The 19742-nt window shown below is 44.6% G+C and overlaps 1 protein-coding gene across 4 annotated transcripts in view; it reads left to right on the top strand.

Annotated features, from left to right (window-relative positions):
• VPS33A (VPS33A core subunit of CORVET and HOPS complexes) overlaps positions 1-19320 on the top strand; it is a 36931-nt gene extending 17611 nt beyond the window's left edge. For 3 of the 4 annotated variants that reach the window (NM_022916.6, NM_001351018.2, NM_001351019.2), the window contains exons 7-13: positions 4122-4315; positions 6376-6502; positions 8939-9006; positions 10160-10297; positions 12961-13098; positions 15916-16084; positions 16457-19320. In NM_022916.6, coding sequence (NP_075067.2) covers positions 4122-4315; positions 6376-6502; positions 8939-9006; positions 10160-10297; positions 12961-13098; positions 15916-16084; positions 16457-16638 — 1016 coding nt within the window. In that variant the 3' untranslated portion in view covers positions 16639-19320. The remainder of the gene's footprint in view (positions 1-4121; positions 4316-6375; positions 6503-8938; positions 9007-10159; positions 10298-12960; positions 13099-15915; positions 16085-16456) is intronic. The other variant, NM_001351020.2, reaches the window with a different exon arrangement.

Raw genomic sequence — 19742 nt, 5'->3', positions numbered from 1 at the left:
AATTTTAGTGCCCAGGCCGGTCCTTGTCCCCTGTGAGCAGAGGCCAAGGGTCTCCCTCAGAGGGCACTGGCATTTGCGACGCACACATCCTTGCAGCCGGCAGTAGTTGACGAAGGCGGCAGAAGCAGTGGCGTTTGTGCTGGTTGGAAAGACGTGGAGAGTTTAGTTGGAGATCCTGGGGCAGGGGCAGTCGGCATCATACACAGAGTCATGACGAGCCAAGCAACGTGGTTGAGTGGAGTGCATGGCTGGAGAAATATTTTAGAAAAACGGCTGGTACAGAAGGTCGAGGCCACTCTATGGAAGATGTGGATGGCTGGTTAGTGCCTGGCCTTGGTGGGTGATTAGGTAGATCACAAGTATGTTTGGTTTGGCTGGTTTTGGCCCACATGATATTTATTTCTGTCAGCTTTAGAATGTGATACATTTTAAGTAATAATCCTGAATTAGGCCATGACGAAAAATATTGGAAGCACTGGCAAGAGGCCATGCTCCCACTGGTGGCCAGGACCCAGAGTGTCTAGAGCTCCCTGCCTCACCACAGACCCCTACACCTGTCTCAGCCTGGCCTTCTTCCCTCGTCTGCATAGTCCCCGGCCTCTATTGCCATCCTGAATGAAGTCACAGGGAGCCAAGGGAAGGCCTGAGGAGAGGGATGTGTAAGAAAGATGAGGCCAGGCGCGGTGGCTCACTCCTGTAACCCCAGCACTTTGGGAGGCCAAGGCAGGCAGATCACGTGAGATCAGAAGTTTGAGACCAGGCTGACCAACGTGGTGAAACCCCATCACTACTAAAAATACACACACACACACACACACACACAGCTGGATTTGGTGGCGCATGCCTGTAGTACCAGCTACTCAGGAGGCTGAGGCACGAGAATCGCTTGAACTTAGGAGGTGGAGCTTGCAGTGAGCCAAGATCGCACGGCTGCACTCCAGCCCGGGTGACAGAGTGAGACTTTGTCTCAAAAAAATAATAAAATAGGTGAAAATTTTTTTAAATATTTAAAAAGAAAGAAAGGAAGGAAGAGAGGAAGGGCCTGCAATTCAGAGGGAAACGGACTCGTGGTTGCCAGGACTACAGGAAGGGGATGGGGAGTCACCACTTATTGGCTACAGGGTTTCCCTTTGGGATAAAAAAGTGTGGAACTAGATACTGGCTGTGGTCCTACCATGTTGTATATGTACTAAATGCTACTGGATCATTCACTGTAAAACAAAGTAGTAATTTTTATATTATGTGCAATTTACCACAAGAATGGATGAATGAATGACGTGGGTGACGGAGAGAGAGACATGCATGAGGAGGCGTTTCCACACGTATGGAAGGTCTTTAGTGATAAGATTGTAAAAAGTCTTATTATTATTGTTTGTCAAAAAAATGGCACCTTTAATACTTTTTAAAACTCTATTTATTGACAGAGGAATTTATTTCAGGAGAGCCCTATGCTGGGTTGTGGGTGGAAATCAAAGAAACAGGGTGGTCCCAGAGCATGTAGCACCCAGGAAGGCATGAAAGAAGAGCTCTGAAGTTCAGGATGGGGAATGGTGGGGGGAGAGGCGGCCTGGGAGTTGGCCCAGGGACAGCTGTATAGGAGGGGTGGGAGGTATGTGGGAAGGGATTTTCCAAGAAGAGAAAAAATATGTATAAATTCCCAGCCTCCTTGTAGCAAGTTTTTTCGTAATGTAAGTCAAACATTGATTAGGAAAAAAATTGGAAAAATAGAAGAAAACATAGATCCGTTATTATCCTCCAACCTTACCCCAACAGCCCTGTGGCCCCAAACCTTGGGACAACCACTGTTAATATTGTGGTATTATTTCCTAGTCTTTTTTTCCCCTTGTGTAGTTTATTGTAGTTAACAAAAAATGGAATCAGGTTGTACAAATAGTTTCAAACCTGAGTTTTGATTTGGTATGCTAATGAGCATTTTCCTAGTGTATGCATACTGTAATCGTTACATTAAAATCCACAGTATAGGGCAGGCATGGTGGCTTATGCCTGTAATCCTAGCACTGTGGGAGGCCAAGGCGGGCCAATCACCTGAGGTCAGGAGTTCGAGACCAGCCTGACCAACATAGTGAAACCCCATTTCTACTAAATACAAAAAAAAATTAGCCAGGTATGGTGGCGGGTGGCTATAATCCCAGCTACTTGGGAGGCTGAGGCAGGAGAATTGCTTGAACCTGGGAGGTGGAGGTTGCAGTGAGCCGAGATCGTGCCACTGCACTCCAGTCTGGGTGACAGACTGAGACTGTGTCTCAATTAAAAAACCAAAAAGTGGCTGGACACACTGGCTCATGTCTGTAATCCCAGCACTTTGGGAGGTTGAGGTGAGCGGATCATCTGAGGTCAGGAGTTCGAGACCAGCCTGGCCAACATGGTGAAACCCGTCTCTACTAAAAGTACAAAAATTAGTCGGGTGTGGTGGCGGGCGCCTGTAATCCTAGCTACTCAGGAGGCTGAGGCAGGAGAATCGCTTGAACCCGGGAGGTGGAGGTTGTAGTGAGCTGAGATCACGCCACTGCACTCCAGCCTGGGCGAGAGAGCGAGACTCCCTCTTAAATAAATAAATAAATAAATAAATAAAATAAGAGAGAGAGAGAGATCCTCCCACCTAAGCCTCTCAAAGTGCTGGGATTACAGGCGTGAGCCACTGTGCCCAGCCTACATAAGATTTTTTTCATATATCAGATTATTTTCTTTCCCTGGATTCCCTGATGCAGGATTTTTGGGGTGAAAGGCACTTGGTACATGTTGCCAAATTGCTTTACTGCAGAGTTACACCAGCTCCATGCCATCCGTAGTTCATGAGCACATGTGGGGTGTTCCAGGAAAATAGGGACTCACTTGGCTTGGCAGGAGCAGAGTAGGGAGAAGGAGATTAAGGCTACTTCGCAGAGGAAGTGGATACCATGCTAAGGAATTTGGAAGCTTATTCTAGATCAGGGTGTACAGCTTTTTCTATAAAGACCCAGATAGTAAGTATTTTAGGCTTTTGCTTGTTACAAAGTGCAGGTCATACAGAGGAACCTCCTTGTCTCTGTCATTGTCATGTGAAAGTAGCCATAGACAATACAAAAAGAATAGCTGTGGCCATGTGCCAATAAAACTTTATTTGCAAAAACAGAAAGTGGGCTGGGCATGGTGGCTCACACCTGTAATCCAGCACTTTGGGAGGCCCAGGAGGGTGGCTCACCTGAAGACAAGAGTTCAAGACCAGCCTGGCCAACATGGTGAAACCCTGTCTCTACTAAAAATACAAGAAAATTAGCCGGGCATGGTGGTGGGTGCCTATAATCTGAGCTACTCAGGAGGCTGAGGCAGGAGAATCATTTGAACCCAGGAGGTGGAGGTTGCAGTGAGCCGAGATCGTGCCATTGCACTCCAGCCTGGGTGACAAGAGTGAAACTCCGTCTCAAAAAAAAAAAAAAAAACAGAACGTGAACAGAGTTTGGTCCTCAGACCGTAGTTTCTAATTCTTGTTCTAGGATGGCTTTTAAACTATTTTGGATTCCAATCCACAGTAAGAAATGTATTTTATATCATGAGCCAGTATATACACACATGTATGCATGTGCATGTTAAACTGAAACAAAAGTTTTATTTAAAAAAAAAATAAAACGAAGCCACCACTAGCTTCTCTAACAGCGTGTGATAAGCTTTTGTATTTTCTACTCTGTGCTGTTTTTGGTACTGTTGTTTTGTTTTGGTTTCGTTTGGTTTTGGTTTTAAGATGCTACTTGCAACCCACCAGCTTGATTTCATGATCCACTAATGGAACATGATCTACAGTTTGAAAAAATACTAAAAGTCAATGGGGAGATCCTTGAAAGTTTTCTGAGTGGAAAAGTGACCTAATCCCTGAATAAGTTTAGGAAGTGGACATTGCTGCATGTGGTTTATATAGGTGCCCCAAAGATAATGAGAACTGTGGTATCAGTATTAGAGTCACTACTTCCTGTACTTTGATCATGGAAAATCAAAAGCTCAGAGCTATGTGTCGTTTGCCGTCTTCCATTTTCTCCTGAGTTGGAAATTCTGTTTTGTGCTTGGTTACCGGATTGGTTCTTCCAGTCATTGCACACAGGTGCTTATTCCCTTCCACTGCTGCTCAGGTTATGTGAAATTACCTCCAGAGAAATTTGCACCTAAGAAACAGGGCGATGGTGGTAAGGACCTCCCCACGGAAGCAAAGAAGCTGCAGCTGAATTCTGCAGAGGAGCTCTATGCTGAGATCCGAGATAAGAACTTCAACGCAGTTGGCTCTGTGCTCAGCAAGAAAGCAAAGATCATCTCTGCAGCATTCGAGGTGAGGCAAGTTTTGGGTGTCATTCTGCAACTCTAGGCCTCAGGTAGATGCCCACCCCTGAGGGGAATAAGAGCTCCAAAAATATGTAGCCATTAAACCAGGCTTCAATGCAACTTTTCTCATCTTCAGTAACTGCAGATTCAGTATTGGAAGATCCGAGGTTTTCATTTTAAACTTTCTCAGACCCGCGTTGCGTAAAGTTCTTTTTGTGTGGAGGGTAGGTGGAGGCGCAAGTGTGTGCAGTTTACAGACTTCCATCATAAACATTTGCTTTATCGTCTTAAATTATTTCCTACCTTGCCTAAGAGGAAGCCATCTGTACTACAAATAAAGAATCCTCTATAATAGAACTTGTGGTTCATGCTGAAAACTCAAGTTTAGCCAGTGTGACTGCGGCAGGGGAAGTCAGCACGTGTGGCAGGTGATAATGAGACTGAAATCCCCAGCAACCCCGAGCTTTGAAATTGGTGGCTTCATTATCACCTTCCTGCCTCCTCTTGCCCGTTCACTAGTTTATTCTTGCTCAGGCTCCTTTTTGAAACATGGGAATTCAACAAGATCATAAAGTCTGAATATTTCAACTTTGGAAACATAAATGGGAAGTTTTTGAAAATGAATTTTTCACTGAGTATGTAGTTCTAGATTTTTTTTTGACAGGGTCTCGCTTTGTCTCCCAGGATGGGTGTAGTGGTACAATCATGGCTTACTGAGCTGCTACCTCCCAGGCTCAAGCAATCCTCCCACCTCAGCCTCCCGAGTAGCTGGGACCACAGGCACATGCCATCATGCCTGGCAGAGTTTTTTGTTGTTTTTTTTTCTGTAGAGATGGGGACTTCCTGCGTTGCCCAGGCTGGCTTGGAACTAGGCCATGTAATTCCAGATTTTATCTTTCTCAGGAATTATGTTCATTAATTGATTTTCATATTTCTGAAGTTACTTTTGGTTTAAGTTATTAAATTTTGCCAAAAAATATTATCATCACCAAGCTATGTTCGCTTTGTTCATAGACTATACTCAAGACTAAGGTTCAGGCCAGGCACAGTGGCTCACGCCTGTCATCCCGGCACTGTCGGAGGCTGAGGCAGGAGGATCGCTTGAGCCCAGAAGTCCTAGACCAGCCTGGGCAACACAGCAAGACACTGTCTCTACAAAACTTTTTTTTTTTTTAACTAGCTGGGCAGTGGCGTGTGCCTGTAATCCCAGCTCCTTGGGAGGCTGAGGTAGGAGCCTAGGAGGCGGAGGCTGCAGTGAGCTGTGATGACACCACTGCACTCCAGCCTGGGCGACAGAGACCCTGTCTCAACATCAAATAAAAGACTGAGGGTCAACAGAAAAAATGGATTTTTTTCTGTTACACAGGAAACTTTTCCTCTTTATGGTACCCTCTAAACATAATTTTTTGTCTTAGTTTTTTACTCAGAAATTTGTATGGTTTATATAGTACTATCTTTCACCAATACTCAGATGTCCACAAAATACTGACACAGTGTTTAAGCTGGTACATTGGAAGACAGACTCTGAGGCATTTGCTTCTTTAAAGAAGTGCTAATTCAGGAGACAGGCACCATGACCTCTATTATTTCAGTCATATATATACTTTTCTTTTCTCTTTTTTTATGTAATGTAATGATTTATTTGTATTCCATTCTTCCTTTCTCATTAATATAAATGAAACATCCTCTGAACAATACAAAAAACAAAGCACTTAAAATATCGGCCAGGCGTGGTGGCTCACGCCTGTAATCCTAACACTTTGGGAGGCCAAGGTGGGTGGATCACCTGAGGTCAGGAGTTCGAGACCAGCCTGACCAATATGGTGAAACCCTGTCTCTACTAAAAATACAAAAATTAGTTTGGGCATGGTGGTGGGCACCTGTAATCCCAGCTACTCGGGAGGCTGAGGCATGAGAATCACTTGAACCTGGGAGGCGGAGGTTGCAGTGAGCCGAGATTGCGCCACTGCACTCCAGCCTGGGCAACAAAGCGAGAGTCCTTCTCAAAAAAATAAAATAAATAAACTATCTTCCCTGCTTGAGGCACTGCTCTCTTGTTTATTTCAGGAAAGACACAATGCTAAGACCGTGGGGGAGATCAAGCAGTTTGTTTCCCAGTTGCCCCACATGCAGGCAGCAAGGGGCTCGCTTGCAAACCATACCTCAATTGCAGAATTGATCAAAGATGTCACTAGTGAGTATCCTTTGTAATGATTGTTTCAGTCTGGGGCTACTTGCACATACAACGTTTGACACCTAGGTCATCAACACCACAATGCCTCTTCGGGAGAGTCAGCTCTGTCTTAATACCACGTGTTCTTCTCAGTGTTAATGAAGTATACATATGTTAATAGTTAAGGATATTCCAGGCGGGGCATGGTGGCTCATGCCTGTAATCCCAGCACTTCGGGAGGCCAAGACGGGCAGATCACTTGAGGTCAGGAGTTTGAGACCAGCCTGGCCAACATGATGAAACCCCATGTCTACTACAAATACAAAAATTAGCCAGGCACAGTGGTATGCATCTGTAGTCCCAGCTACCTGGGAGGCTGAGGCAGGAGAATTGCTTGAACCTGGAAGGCGGAGGTTGCAGTGAGCCGACATCACGCCACTGCACTCCAGCCTGGGTGACAGAGTGAGACTCCATCTCGAAAAACAAAACAAAAAGAATGTTCCATTTGTTGGCCAGGCATGATGGCTCACATCTGTAACCCCAGCACTTCGGGAGGCTGAGGCAGGCAGATCACTTGAGTCCAGGAATTGAAGACCAGCCTGGGCAACATGGCGAAACCCTGTCTCTACTAAAAATACAAAAATTAGCTGGGCATGGTGGCACATGCCTGTAGTTACAGCTACTCAGGAGGTTGAGGCATGAGAATCACATGAACCCTGGAGGCAAAGGTTACAGTGAGCTGAAATCACGCCACTGCACTCCAGCCTGGTTGAGCGAGACTCCATTAAAAAAAAAAAAGACTGGGCGAGGTGGCTCATGTCTGTAATCCCACCACTTTGGGAGGCCGAGGCAGGTGGATCGCCTGAGGTCAGGCATTCGAGACCAGCCTGGCCAACATAGTGGAACACCATCTGTACTAAAAATACAAAAATTAGCCAGGTGTGGTGGCGGGCACCTGTAATCCCAGCTACTCAGGAGACTGAGGCAGGAGAATTGCTTGAACCGGGAGGCAGAGGTTGCAGTGAGCCAAGATTGCACCACTGCACTCCGGCCTGGGCGACAGAGCAGGACTCCATCTCGAAATAACGAAAGAAAGAAAAAGAGAAAGAGAGGAAGGGTCCATTTTTTAACTCAAATTTTTTCATTATCATTTATATGAAAAATATTTGGAATGTAGATAAGAGAAAAAAATTATCCATAAGTTTGCCATCATAATCTGAGATGGTTAATTTTTTTAGTCTAGCTTTTTTTCTTTTTTTTTTTTTTTTGAGACGGAGTTTCACTCTTGTTGCCCAGGCTGCAGTGCAATGGCACAATCTTGGCTCACCGCAACCTCTGCCTCCCGGGTTCAAGTGATTCTCCTGCCTCAGCCTCCCAAGTAGCTGGGATTACAGGTACTTGCCACCACGCCTGGCTTATTTTCTATTTTTACTAGAGATGGTGTTTCACCATGTTGGTCAGGCTGGTCTCAAACTCCCAACCTCAGGTGATCCGCCTGCCTTGGCTCCCAAAGTGCTGGGATTACAGGCATGAGCCACCGCGGCCAGCAGCTTTTTTCCTTTTTTGAAGGATTACTTATTGGCGCATGTTCTTCCCTTGAATATTCTGTGCAGAATTGGTACAAAGAGTATATGTTGAGTATTTTGAAAGAGCTCAGAAGACATCTATTAAAGCAGACATGAGTTTGTTTGTTTGTTACAACACAGGGCTGTAAAAGCTGAGTAGGAGATTGTTTTATGAAGTATACTTCGAATCTTAAGTAAATCACAGTTATCGGAAAATCAGTCCTTTGTTTCCCTGTTCATAGGAGTGGAAACCAGTTGAAATTGGGTTGAACCTAATGATGAAAATGAAATGTTCTTGAGAAATTAGCTTTCATTCATACTGACGCTCATTCTGGGGTCTGTACTGAAATCCTAAGGATACAAAAGAGTGCACTTGTCGACTGTATCTAGTGTAACTTAGGAGTGCAGAGGCCTAGCGTTTTCCATGTTTCCTAAAAGATTTTCTTCAGGTGATGACTTGAACTTATTGCTTGCTTGCTTTTTTGCATGATGTCTGGTTTCTTTTCTTTTGAGACAGAGTCTCGCTCTGTTGCCCAGGCTGGAGAGCAATGGTGTGATCTTGGCTCACTGTAACCTCCGCCTCCCCGCCTCAAGTGATTCTTGTGCCTTAGCCTCCCGAGTAGCTGGGACTACGGGTGTGTGCCACCATACCCAGCTAATTTTTGTGTTTTTGGTAGAGATGGGGTTTGGCCATGTTGGTCAGGCTGGTCTTGAACTCCTGGCCTGAAGTGATCCACCCACCTCGGCCCCCTACAGTGCTGAGATTACAGGTGTGAGCCACCGTGCCCAGCCACATGTCTAGTTTCTGAATCGTGCTCTGTGTATAAAAGCATGCCACTCAAGTAAATTAACATTTAATTTCTAAGTTGCAAATTTGCTAATTTCATTTTAGCTTCTGAAGACTTTTTTGATAAATTAACCGTGGAACAGGAGTTTATGTCTGGAATAGACACTGATAAGGTATGTGGACAAAAAAACCTCTTTAACAAGTAATTGAAAGCTTATTAAACCTCAGATTATAGCCAGAAAACCAATTGCTTTGATTCCCATGCCTTGCCTTTTTTTTTTTTTTTTTTTTTTTTTTTTTTGAGACGGAGTCTCACTGTGTGTCACCCAGCTTGCTCTGTTGCCCAGGCTGGAGTGCAGTGGCGCCATCTCTGCTCACTGCAAGCTCCGCCTCCCGGGTTGACGCCATTCTGCCTCAGCCTCCCGAGTAGCTGGGACTACAGGCGCTCACCACCACACCTGGCTAATTTTTTGTATTTTTAATAGAGACGGGGTTTCACCATGTTAGCCAGGATGGTCTCGATCTCCGACCTTGTGATCCGCCCACCTTGGCCTCCCAAACTGTTGGGATTACAGGCGTGAGTCACTGCGCCCGGCCACTTAAATATTTTTAAGAGCAAATGCAAAATGTGCAAGTGTAGATTTTATCAAGTAACAGATATTTAACATTATTCTGTGCAAGACACTTTCTGCCATACATGGCAACATGAGACCTGGCCCCTAAAATCAAATCTTTTTAAGACTGTATTAGATAAGGTATTTGCTCTTTTGAAAGAGTTTCTTATATAACTCCTTTAAATAGCTCTATTAACAAATTTTAAATTATTCACTTTATGAAAATTCCTAACATAAAACAATTACTGATACTTTTTGCTAGATTAGTTGTTGATACTATTGAAATGGAGTAGACATCTGGTAGCCTCTCAGAAGCGTGTCCTTAGAGACAGACGTGTCCAGACAGGCATATGGAGTGACCAATTGTATTCTCAGCGGCCTTGGGCTCCAGTGACTTGGCCTGATCACTGGGGGGTGTGTGTGTGTGTGTGTGTGTGTGTATGTATGTATGTGTGTGTGGGGTGTGTGTGTGTGTGTGGTGGCCAGGGTGTGTGTGTGGCTGGGGCTAGCAGAGCTATTTCGGGGAAGGGTTAGGGACTGTGGAAAAATAACTCATTTTCCCACGTATCTCCTTTATTGGACTTTGAAAAATAATAATAAACATCAAGTTAAGTTCCTAAACCATGTATTGTGTGTGTGTGTGTGTGTGTGTGTGTGTGTGTGTGTATGTATATGTAAATGTATATGTATATGTATGCTACTTTATTTCCAGGTCAACAATTACATTGAGGATTGTATCGCCCAAAAGCACTCGTTGATCAAGGTGTTAAGACTAGTTTGCCTCCAATCCGTGTGTAATAGTGGGCTCAAACAAAAAGTTTTGGATTATTACAAAAGAGAGATTCTCCAGGTGAGTATATTTTTAAATTATTAATTTGCCAAGGGGGACAGCATCTTTTTAAAAAATACTTCATGGGCCGGGCACAGTGGCTTACGCCTGTAATCCCAGCACTTTGGGAGGCCAAAGCAGGTGGATCACTTGAGGTTAGGAGTTTGAGACCAGCCTGGCCAACATGGTGAAACCCCCATCTCTATTAAAAATACAAAAATTAGCCAGGCATGGTAGCATGCACCTGTAGTCCCAGCTATTTGAGAGGATCAGGCAGGAGAATCGCTTGAACGCAGGAGGCGGAGGTTACAGTGTGTCAAGATCATGCCCCTGCACTCCAGCCTGGGCAACAGAGTGAGACTCTGTCTCAAAAAATAATAATAAAAAATTTAAAATTAAAAAAAATAAAAATTACAAAGCTGCCATTTTGGTATCTTGTAACGACTGTTGTATAAATTTTTTAACACCTAGAGGAATTGGTCTTGGTAGCCATCACTGTTTATTGTATTTGTGTGATAATAATAGCTAACAGGCTGGGCACAGTGGCTCACCTCTGTTATCTCAATATTTTGTGGGGCTGAGGCAGGAGGATCGCTGGAGGCCAAGACCAGCCTGGCAACATAGCAAGACCCTGTCTCTACAAAAAAAATACAAAAATTTACCAGGCATGGTGGCTGTGTCTGCAGTCCCAGCTACCCAGGAGGCTGAGTTAGGAGGATTGCTTGAGCCCAGGAGTCCAAAACCAGCCTAGGCAACATAGCTTGTTTACAAAAAGTAAAAAATAATAATAATAGGTAACATTTCTTGAGCATTTACTATGTGCTAGGATCTATTGGAAAAACTTTATAGGCCGGGCGCGGTGGCTCTGTACCCTGACTCTACTAAAAATACAAAAAATTAGCCGGGCGCGGTGGCGGGCGCCTGTAGTCCCAGCTACTCGGGAGGCTGAGGCAGGAGAATGGCGTGAACCCGGGAGGCGGAGCTTGCAGTGAGCCGAGATTGCGCCACTGCAGTCCGCAGTCCGGCCTGGGCGACAGAGCGAGACTCCGTCTCAAAAAAAAAAAAAAAAAAAAGAAAAACTTTATGTGCATTCATTTGTTTCATCTTCACAATACTTCCTTGTTAACTGTAGTTACCATAACAACAACAACAAATATTCACAACAGCCTTGTGAGTTAGAGACTGCTATCGTCCCAGTTTTATGGATGAAAAACTGAGGCACAGACTAGTTTAGGTAACTCACCCAAGGTTACCTGGCTGGTAAGTGGCACAGCCAGTGGTAAACCAGGCAATTTGAGTGTAGCGCCCATGTTCTTAACTCCGCAGTTATACCACGGAGGAAAAGAACTTTCTGCAAATTTCTGATGACAGTTGCTTAGCAGGTTTACTTAAATTAAGCCTGTGTTACTTATAATAAGGAAAAGGCCACTCTTGTTTTTGAAAAGTCTCCCCTTTGTTTGAAAATGACTCAGGTAGTATTTATTTGCTGTTACCAGTGACAGTTAAGTACATTTTTATTAAAATTGAGTGCTCATTAATTTTTTGTTTTTGTCTTTTTTTAAGTTATGTATCCTTGTGTAAGAGTCAAATAATGCAGAAGTACACAGAGCAAAATGTGAACGTCCCCTGTACCTTGCTCATACCCCAGTTTCCCTCCCCAGATGTGACCAGTGTCAGCAGTCTGATTTGCTTCCTTCCAAACTCCATTCTTTGCATTTAGACAGAATGTTTCCATACACAGACTTCAGAGCAAGACTGGCTGGATCCAGGTTTCAGCTCTGCTCTTCACTAGCTGTGTGACTTTAGGCAGGTTATTTAAACATCTCTGTAAAATGAAGGTAATGATACCTACGTCATGGGGTTAGAGCCGGGATGACTGAGTTAATGTATGTAAGTGCTTAGACCAGAACAGTGCCCAGCTCATAGAAAGTATTTTATAAGTGTTGGCTACTTTTTAAAATTTATTTATTTTTTGAGACAGTATCTCACCCTGTTGCCCAGAGTGGAGTGCAGTGGCACAATCTTGGCTCACTGTAACCTCCTGGGTTCAAGCGATTCTCCTGCCTCAGCCTCCCGAGTAGCTGGGATTACAGGTACATGCCACCAGGCCCAGCTAATTTTTTAATTTTTAGTAGAGACAGGGTTTCACCATGTTGGCCAGGCTGGTCTCAAACTCCTGACTTCAAGTGATTGGCCCGCCTCGGCCTCCCAAAGTACTGGGATTACAGGTGTGAGCCAGCATGCCCAGACCTTGGCTACTTTTTAAAAATAGAAATAATGTCCTACTCTACATGTTATTTTTTTTTTAATATATTCTGGAGACCTTTCTTATCAGGATGTATACATATGCCTTACTCTTTTTTAGAGCTAATTATATCCCTTATAAAAATATACTATCATTTATTTGATGCTTGCTTAGATTGGGTCCATAAATTCTGACTTTAAAGTAAAAATTTTAAATTTCTCTTTGAAACAGTGAGCTGAATTAATAGTAACAGGCAAGCAGTTTTAGGACAAGTTTCATCCCTCCACCCTGTCCTCTGTGCCCATCCACTAACATTGCTGGACTTTGGTAACATGTCCTGCAGTACAAACCAAATTGATTTGTTGGAAGTGCCCTTCTTTGAAAATTGCAGAAATCCTTTTCCTGATCTGACATCAAGGCCAAATGACTTCCCTTGCAGACATACGGCTATGAGCACATATTGACCTTACACAACCTGGAGAAGGCCGGCCTGCTGAAACCGCAGACGGGGGGCAGAAACAATTACCCAACTATACGGAAAACATTACGCCTCTGGATGGATGATGTTAATGAGCAAGTAAGCCACACTTCTCCACCTCGTCTCAGCTTAGGGACTGGTTAGATCGTCCAGGTGACAACACATGCTTCTGAACCTACACATCTGCCTTGCTTTCTGAAAACAATTTTCTAATGTTTTTGAAAAAGTAATGTATGCATGTATTGTATCCATCAGAATCCTAGAAGGACACAGAGAATGCTCTTAAACTGGGGAGTTTCTGGAGAGTTTAATAAAGATGTGGGCTGGGCGCGGTGGCTCACACCTATAATCCCAGCACTTTGGGAGGCCGAGGCGGGCAGATCACTTGAGCTCAGGAGTTTGAGAACAGCCTGACTAACATGGGAAACCCCATCTCTACTAAAAATACAAAAATTAGCCCAGCATTGTGGTGCGTGCCTGTAATCCCATCTACTTGGGGGGCTGAGGCAGGAGAATTGCTTGAACCTGGGAGGCGGAGGTTGTAGTGAGCTCAGATCATGCCATTGCACTCCAGCCTGGGCGACAGAGCAAGACTCTGTCTCAAAAAAAAAAAAAAAAAAGTTATGGGGCAGGCTCGGTGGCTCATTCTTGTAATCCCAGTATATTGGGAGGCTGAAGGGTCAGATCGCTTGAGTCCAGGAGTTCGAGACCAGCCTGGGCAACATGGCAAAACCTTGTCTCTACAAAAAAAATGGCCAGTGGTAGTATGAGCCTTTAGTCCGAGGGGCTGTGGTTAGAGGATCACTGAGCCCAGGAGGCGGTTGCAGTGAACCATGTTTGTGCCACTGCACTCCAGGCTGGGCTACACAGTAAGACTCTGTCTCAAATAAATAAAGATGTGGGAAGAGTGGAGAGGCAGTGCAGTGGGGAGCCCTTGCCAGCCACGGCCTGAAGGACAAGGAGAGGGGGGTGTTCTAGAAACTTGTCTTAGAACCTGGAGAGAAGAGCTGTGGTGAGGCCATCTGGTGAGGTAAGGGGTGAGGGGCCTCTGGCTGAGGGTATGGTCAACCTCCAGCAGAGGAAGCTGGCCAGTGACAACGTCATCCTCACACTGCTGCCCACTCTCCAGTTCACTCTGGTGCTTTGTCTTGGTCAGACCCAAAGAGAAGGCATTGGAGTGTGTTGGTGTGGGACGCACAGGTCCATCTCCGGGCACAGAGCATTGCGGAGAAGGGTGGAGAGTGTCTAGAGGAGTCAGTGGAGATGTCCAGCACTCATAAACAAGCCAGCCATGGCCAGGCGCGGTGGCTCACACCTGTAATTCCAGCACTTTGGGAGGCCAAGGCAGGAGGATCACTTGAGGTCAGGAGTTCAAGACCAGCCTGGCCAACATGGTGAAACCCTGTCTCTACTAAAAAATACAAAAGTGATCAGGGCATGGTGGAGCATGCATCTGTAGGCCCAGCTACTGTACTCAGAAGGCTGAGGTGGGAGCCTCCCAGGAGGCTGAGCCTGGGAGGTTGAGGCTACAGTGAGCTGAGATTGCACTGCTGCACTCCAGCATGGGCGACAGAATGAGACCCTATCTCAAAAAGAAAAAGAAAAAGGGAAAAAAAAAGCTATGCAAAAGCAGGGCCATCAGGGCCAAGTGAGTTTCCTTCCACAGTTTCCCCTCAGAGGCAGCCACTGTGGCCAGTTTTTTATCTATCCTTCCAGAAAGATTCTGTGCATATACATTTTTACATAAAGAGTGCATATTCTCTACTGTTGGTCTCCAAAGTGGGGTGCACTTTGCTTTACATTTATTACTTATTCTAATGTTTCTAAATTTCAGTCTTTTTTGGTTTTTCATAAGGAACTTTATTAGGCCGCCTCTTGCAACAAAAGCTCATAACTAGACAGTCTCCTCTGTCAGGAGCAAAATTAAATGATTTTTTCCCGGTGGGAAAATAGAGACCCTTAATGTCTAGAGTCTATCATGTACATATTAGTTCAGCTGTCTTCACTGTTCTGACCTTTCTGACTCTGGACCCACCCACCACTTAACAAAGGATCTTGAAGGGTCTTCTGTGATCTTCCCCTTCTTTTTAATTTTTCTAAATTGCTACATAGTGGTTTTGAGGCTATACCTTATTTAATGATTTAACAGATTGCTATTGATAGAAATTCAGGTTGTTTCCAGTCTTTACTGTTACATGCAGTGTTGCAGTTAATACGTTTATACTTTGGTCTATTATCTTTTGTTCTGCAAGCACCTCTGTAGGATTAATGCCTAAAAGTAGAATTGCTAAGTTCAAAGGTTATTGCACATCATTGCTCAGCTAGGGAGTGCCAAGTTCCCCCCAATATGTTTCATGCTGGCTGGACGCGGTGGCTCAGGCCTGTAATCCCAACACTTTGGGAGGCCGAGGCAGGTGGATCACCTGAGGTCAGAAATTCAAGACCAGCCTGGCCAACATGGTGAAACCCTGTCTCTACTAAAAATACAACAATGAGCCAGGAGTGGTGGTGCACACCTGTAATCCCAGCTCTTTGGGAGCCTGAGGCAGGAGAATTGCTTGAACTAGGGAGGCGGAGGTTGCAGTGAGCTGAAATTATGCCACTGCACTCCAGCCTGGGTGACAGAGCCAGACTCTGTCTCAAAAAAAAAAAAAAAGTTTCATGCCAAACCAAATAATTCTTCATCTTCTGTACCTAGAGCTGCTTTGAGTGGCTTTTCAAGATTTCAGTCAAAATTGAAGCTCTGGCTGCTAAAAATTGAGCCCAGCTAGGGTGGATTAGAACAAGGCATGGCAGGGGTGGGGGTTGTATATCTTTAAATCCAAATCAAATAATTTTGGATTACCCAAAAGGCCACAGTCAGGTAGCTCTAAGTCTCTGTATCTATAGGGTTTTTGTTCTTTAATTATCTCACAGAACCCCACGGACATATCGTATGTGTACAGTGGGTATGCCCCGCTCAGTGTGCGGCTGGCCCAGCTGCTTTCCCGGCCTGGCTGGCGGAGCATCGAGGAGGTCCTCCGCATCCTCCCAGGGCCCCACTTTGAGGAGCGGCAGCCACTGCCCACAGGACTGCAGAAGAAACGTAAGTCCCAGTCCAGCATCTACAGATAATTATGTACTGTTAGTGTGGTTTTCAGGTATTGTACAGTTGCTTTGTAAAATAGTAAAGCACTTAGGAGTCAGAATTAAATACACCTCTTTTGTTCGTTGCTAATGTATGTAGTAAGAACTCGAATCGGATTATTCCCTGAGGGATAGCAGCTTTCAACTTCTGTGTTGAGAATCTCAGAAGTTAAAAAAAAATGTTGAGATCAAAATCAGTATTCTTAGGTTTCAGATGAACTGTCTGGATGAAGGCACTTGTTTATTCTTATGAATGATAAAATGTTTGAAGAGGTGGGAAGAGAAGCATTAATAATAAATAGTTTTTAATTCTGAAATGTTTAAATTTTAGGTCAACCGGGAGAAAACCGAGTGACTCTGATATTTTTCCTTGGGGGCGTAACCTTCGCTGAAATTGCTGCCCTGCGATTTCTCTCCCAGTTGGAAGATGGAGGTACAGAATATGTCATTGCCACCACTAAACTAATGAATGGAACCAGTTGGATAGAGGCTCTGATGGAAAAACCTTTCTAGGATGTTCAGAGGAGACTTAACAAGTGTACTGCAGAATAAACTACCTCTTTGAAGAAATTGCTGAAAGGAAGTAAAACCCCATAGAAGAAACATGGGAATACAGAATATATTCTGGGGTCAGCTTCTTAAATTATACTACTGTTTACTGCTTTCTCCGTCTCTTTTGTATTCCCTTTTTTTTTTTCCTTTGAGACGGAGTCTTGCTCTGTCACCCAGACTAGAGTGCAGTGGCACGGTCTCACCTCACTGCAACCTCCACCTCCTAGGTTCAAGCAATTCTCCTGCCTCAGCCTCCTGAGTAGCTGGGACTACAGGCATGCACCACCACACCCGGCTAATTTTTGTATTTTTAGTAGCCATGGTGTTTCACCATGTTGGCCAGGCTGGTCTCAAACTCCTGACCTCAGGTGATCCACCTGCCTCGGCCTCCCACAGTGCTGGGATTACAGGCCTGAGCCACCGTGCCTGGCCCCTAATCTGCTGAAGAAAGAAGAATAGAAGAAAATCAACCTGAGTAAAAGCAGCACTGGTTTTGAGTTTTCTAAGCTCAGGGTCTTCATTAGAGACCTCTGGAAATACATTAAGGATGGTGGGGGTAGATAATCCATTCAGCCAGACAAACGGGGCCAGCTCTTAAAATAAGAAAGCTGAGACTGAGGAGGTGAAACTGAAAATAAAAAGAGAAAGTTCATCCTCTAATCCCCAGTGCTGTATTTCTTCAAGGCGCATCAGGCCTAGGACAGTGGTTAAGTGTTGGGAGCTGGAGATCATTTTATCACTGAGTTGAGATTTCTTTTTCCTGCAGAGTGTGGGAGATTATATTTAGGGTCATCAGTCACTGTCGCAACTGATCACTAAGGCAAGTTTGCTTCCTTCTACTTCTTACAAAGCAAGAGGTTTAGGGGAGCTTCTTGCCCAGAAACAAAGTTTATGCTCTATGTGATCAGCTACATCTCCTTAGGTTCCATACTTATCAGGGGCTTTTGACATGGAAGAATGTGATAATTGGGGAGCAACCTTCTGAGAATTCAGCCTTTGAAGTAATTCAAAGACAGTTTCTTAGCACACACGTTAACTCCAGACACAGCAGTGGTGGGTGCCTCCATTGAGGTTTCCGTTTTCTCTTCTGTCCATCAAGGGCCCAACATCCAACTGGTCCCACAGTGAGCAGGGGCAACTCTTGCTTCTTCAGCATCTGGCCACTTCGTTTCCATGGTAACTGCCACGTGTACTTTTCTAGCAGTCTGTGGCCACTCCGTACTCAGCTGAAAACACTGTTTCAGCCCCCTCTCTGGTGACCTCAGCCTTCTCCAGGTGTATCTCTTGATGATCTTGGAGACCAGCAGCCACAGCTGCTGCTACTCCTGCAGGAGACTGTCAGGCTGTGGTGGGGGGCAGGGGTGTTGGAGGAGAAGTTGAAAATCCGTGTGTTCTCTGCCCCTCTGCTCCTCCATCTTAGCTTCTGGAGGAGTTAAGGCACCAAGGGCACCAAGTCAGGTTGGCAGTTTTGCTGCCCTTGCCCAAGCCTCCAGCAAAACTAGCTGGTCCCCTGCTTTGCTGGGTCCCAGCCAGGTGTGATTTTGGTTGTTGATTAGTAACCACACATTGTTTTTCCCCACCTTTTTCATTAGTGGAGGTTTTTGTTTTGTTTTGTTTTTGTTTGTTTGAGACAGAGTCTCACGCTCTTTTCAGACTGGAGTGCAGTGGTGCGATGTCAGCTCACTGCAACCTCCACTTCCCGGGTTCAGACGATTCTCATGCCTCAGCCTCCTGAGTAGCTGGGATTACAGATGTGCACCACCACACCTGGCTAATTTTTGTATTTTTAGTAGAGATGGGGTTTCACCATATTGGCCAGGCTGGTCTCAAACTCCTGACCTCAGGCGATTGGCCCACCTCGGCCTCCCAAAGTGCTGGGATTACAGGTGTGAACCACCGTGCCCGGCCCATTAGTGGAGTTCTGATGGGCACGGTAAATATTATTAATGAAAGAGAAATTCTGTATACTTTTTTAAAAATCTCTTTAATGAAAGAATGAAGAGTGGCAGAGATAATAATTGAAAGATTAGTTTCTCATGGAATTAATTTGGCCTTGATATTCAGTATTTGGAAATGTCTTAAAGAAAACCATTTTCATTGTAGAAAATCCTTTTTTAAATACTTGTTATATCCCAGGGAGATTAGTTTATACCTTCCACCTCAGGCAGTCATCAGCTGCTTTAGAGAATGGAATCCACCCTGCCCCTCCATTTTTTGGTTCCTGGGGCTCAATTCAAGTCTGGTCAAGTCTCCCTGGCTGGGGATTCTGTCCTGGGAACAGATACTCAGTTGTAGTCTCATGTGTCTGCACTCACCCAAGACTCTATATACTTGCTTGCTCAGAGCATAGTTAGGGCAGCTCCTAAAAATGCATTCAGCAGAAGACTGAAAAACTTCAATTGCTTCATTTGTATGCAAATAGAAAATGGTAGATAATTATATATTATACGCCTTTGTGTAAGTTCATTTAATACTTGAAGCAGTCTTTGTCTCAAAAGAGTATGCCCTTACTGAGAAAGGATATGTGAACGGTACATTTATTGTTGGGGAGAGTGGATTGTTTACATCATGTCTGGACTTTTGTCTAGTTGGGTAGACAGTTCTACACCAGCAGCCCCCTTAATAAAGAAGTCTACACAGACACTGTTTTGTGTCTTGCTATAGAGTGTTGAATTCTAACCAACAGAGAATTAAGTATTTTGTTAATTGTGGAGCAAAAGAGTAATGGTTGAAAGAGGGATGATTTAAAACAGCACATTTAATTCTCAGAGAAAACTGGGACAGTCTCATTGTGAGTTCTATTCGATTCAGATCTGCCCTCACTGCAAATGGATTATGATTAAGCATGATGTGTTGGTCGGTCTTGTTCTCAGTTGTACACTAAAGACCAGCCTGTCACCAGGAGGAAGTGTTTGTATTGAGCAGAGTTTAATTCAAGAAGAAATTATTTTTTTGAGATGAGGTCTTATTCTGTTGCCCAGGCTGGAGTGCAGTGGCACAATCATAGCTCACCACAGCCTTGAACTTCTGGGCTCAAGCAGTCCTCCTGCCTCAGTCTCACGAGT

Source organism: Homo sapiens, chromosome 12, assembly GCF_000001405.40.
Source record: "Homo sapiens chromosome 12, GRCh38.p14 Primary Assembly".
Classification (NCBI taxonomy): domain Eukaryota; kingdom Metazoa; phylum Chordata; class Mammalia; order Primates; family Hominidae; genus Homo; species Homo sapiens.
The sequence above is the reverse complement of the archived record's forward strand: the minus strand, read 5'-3'. Positions and strand labels throughout refer to the sequence as shown.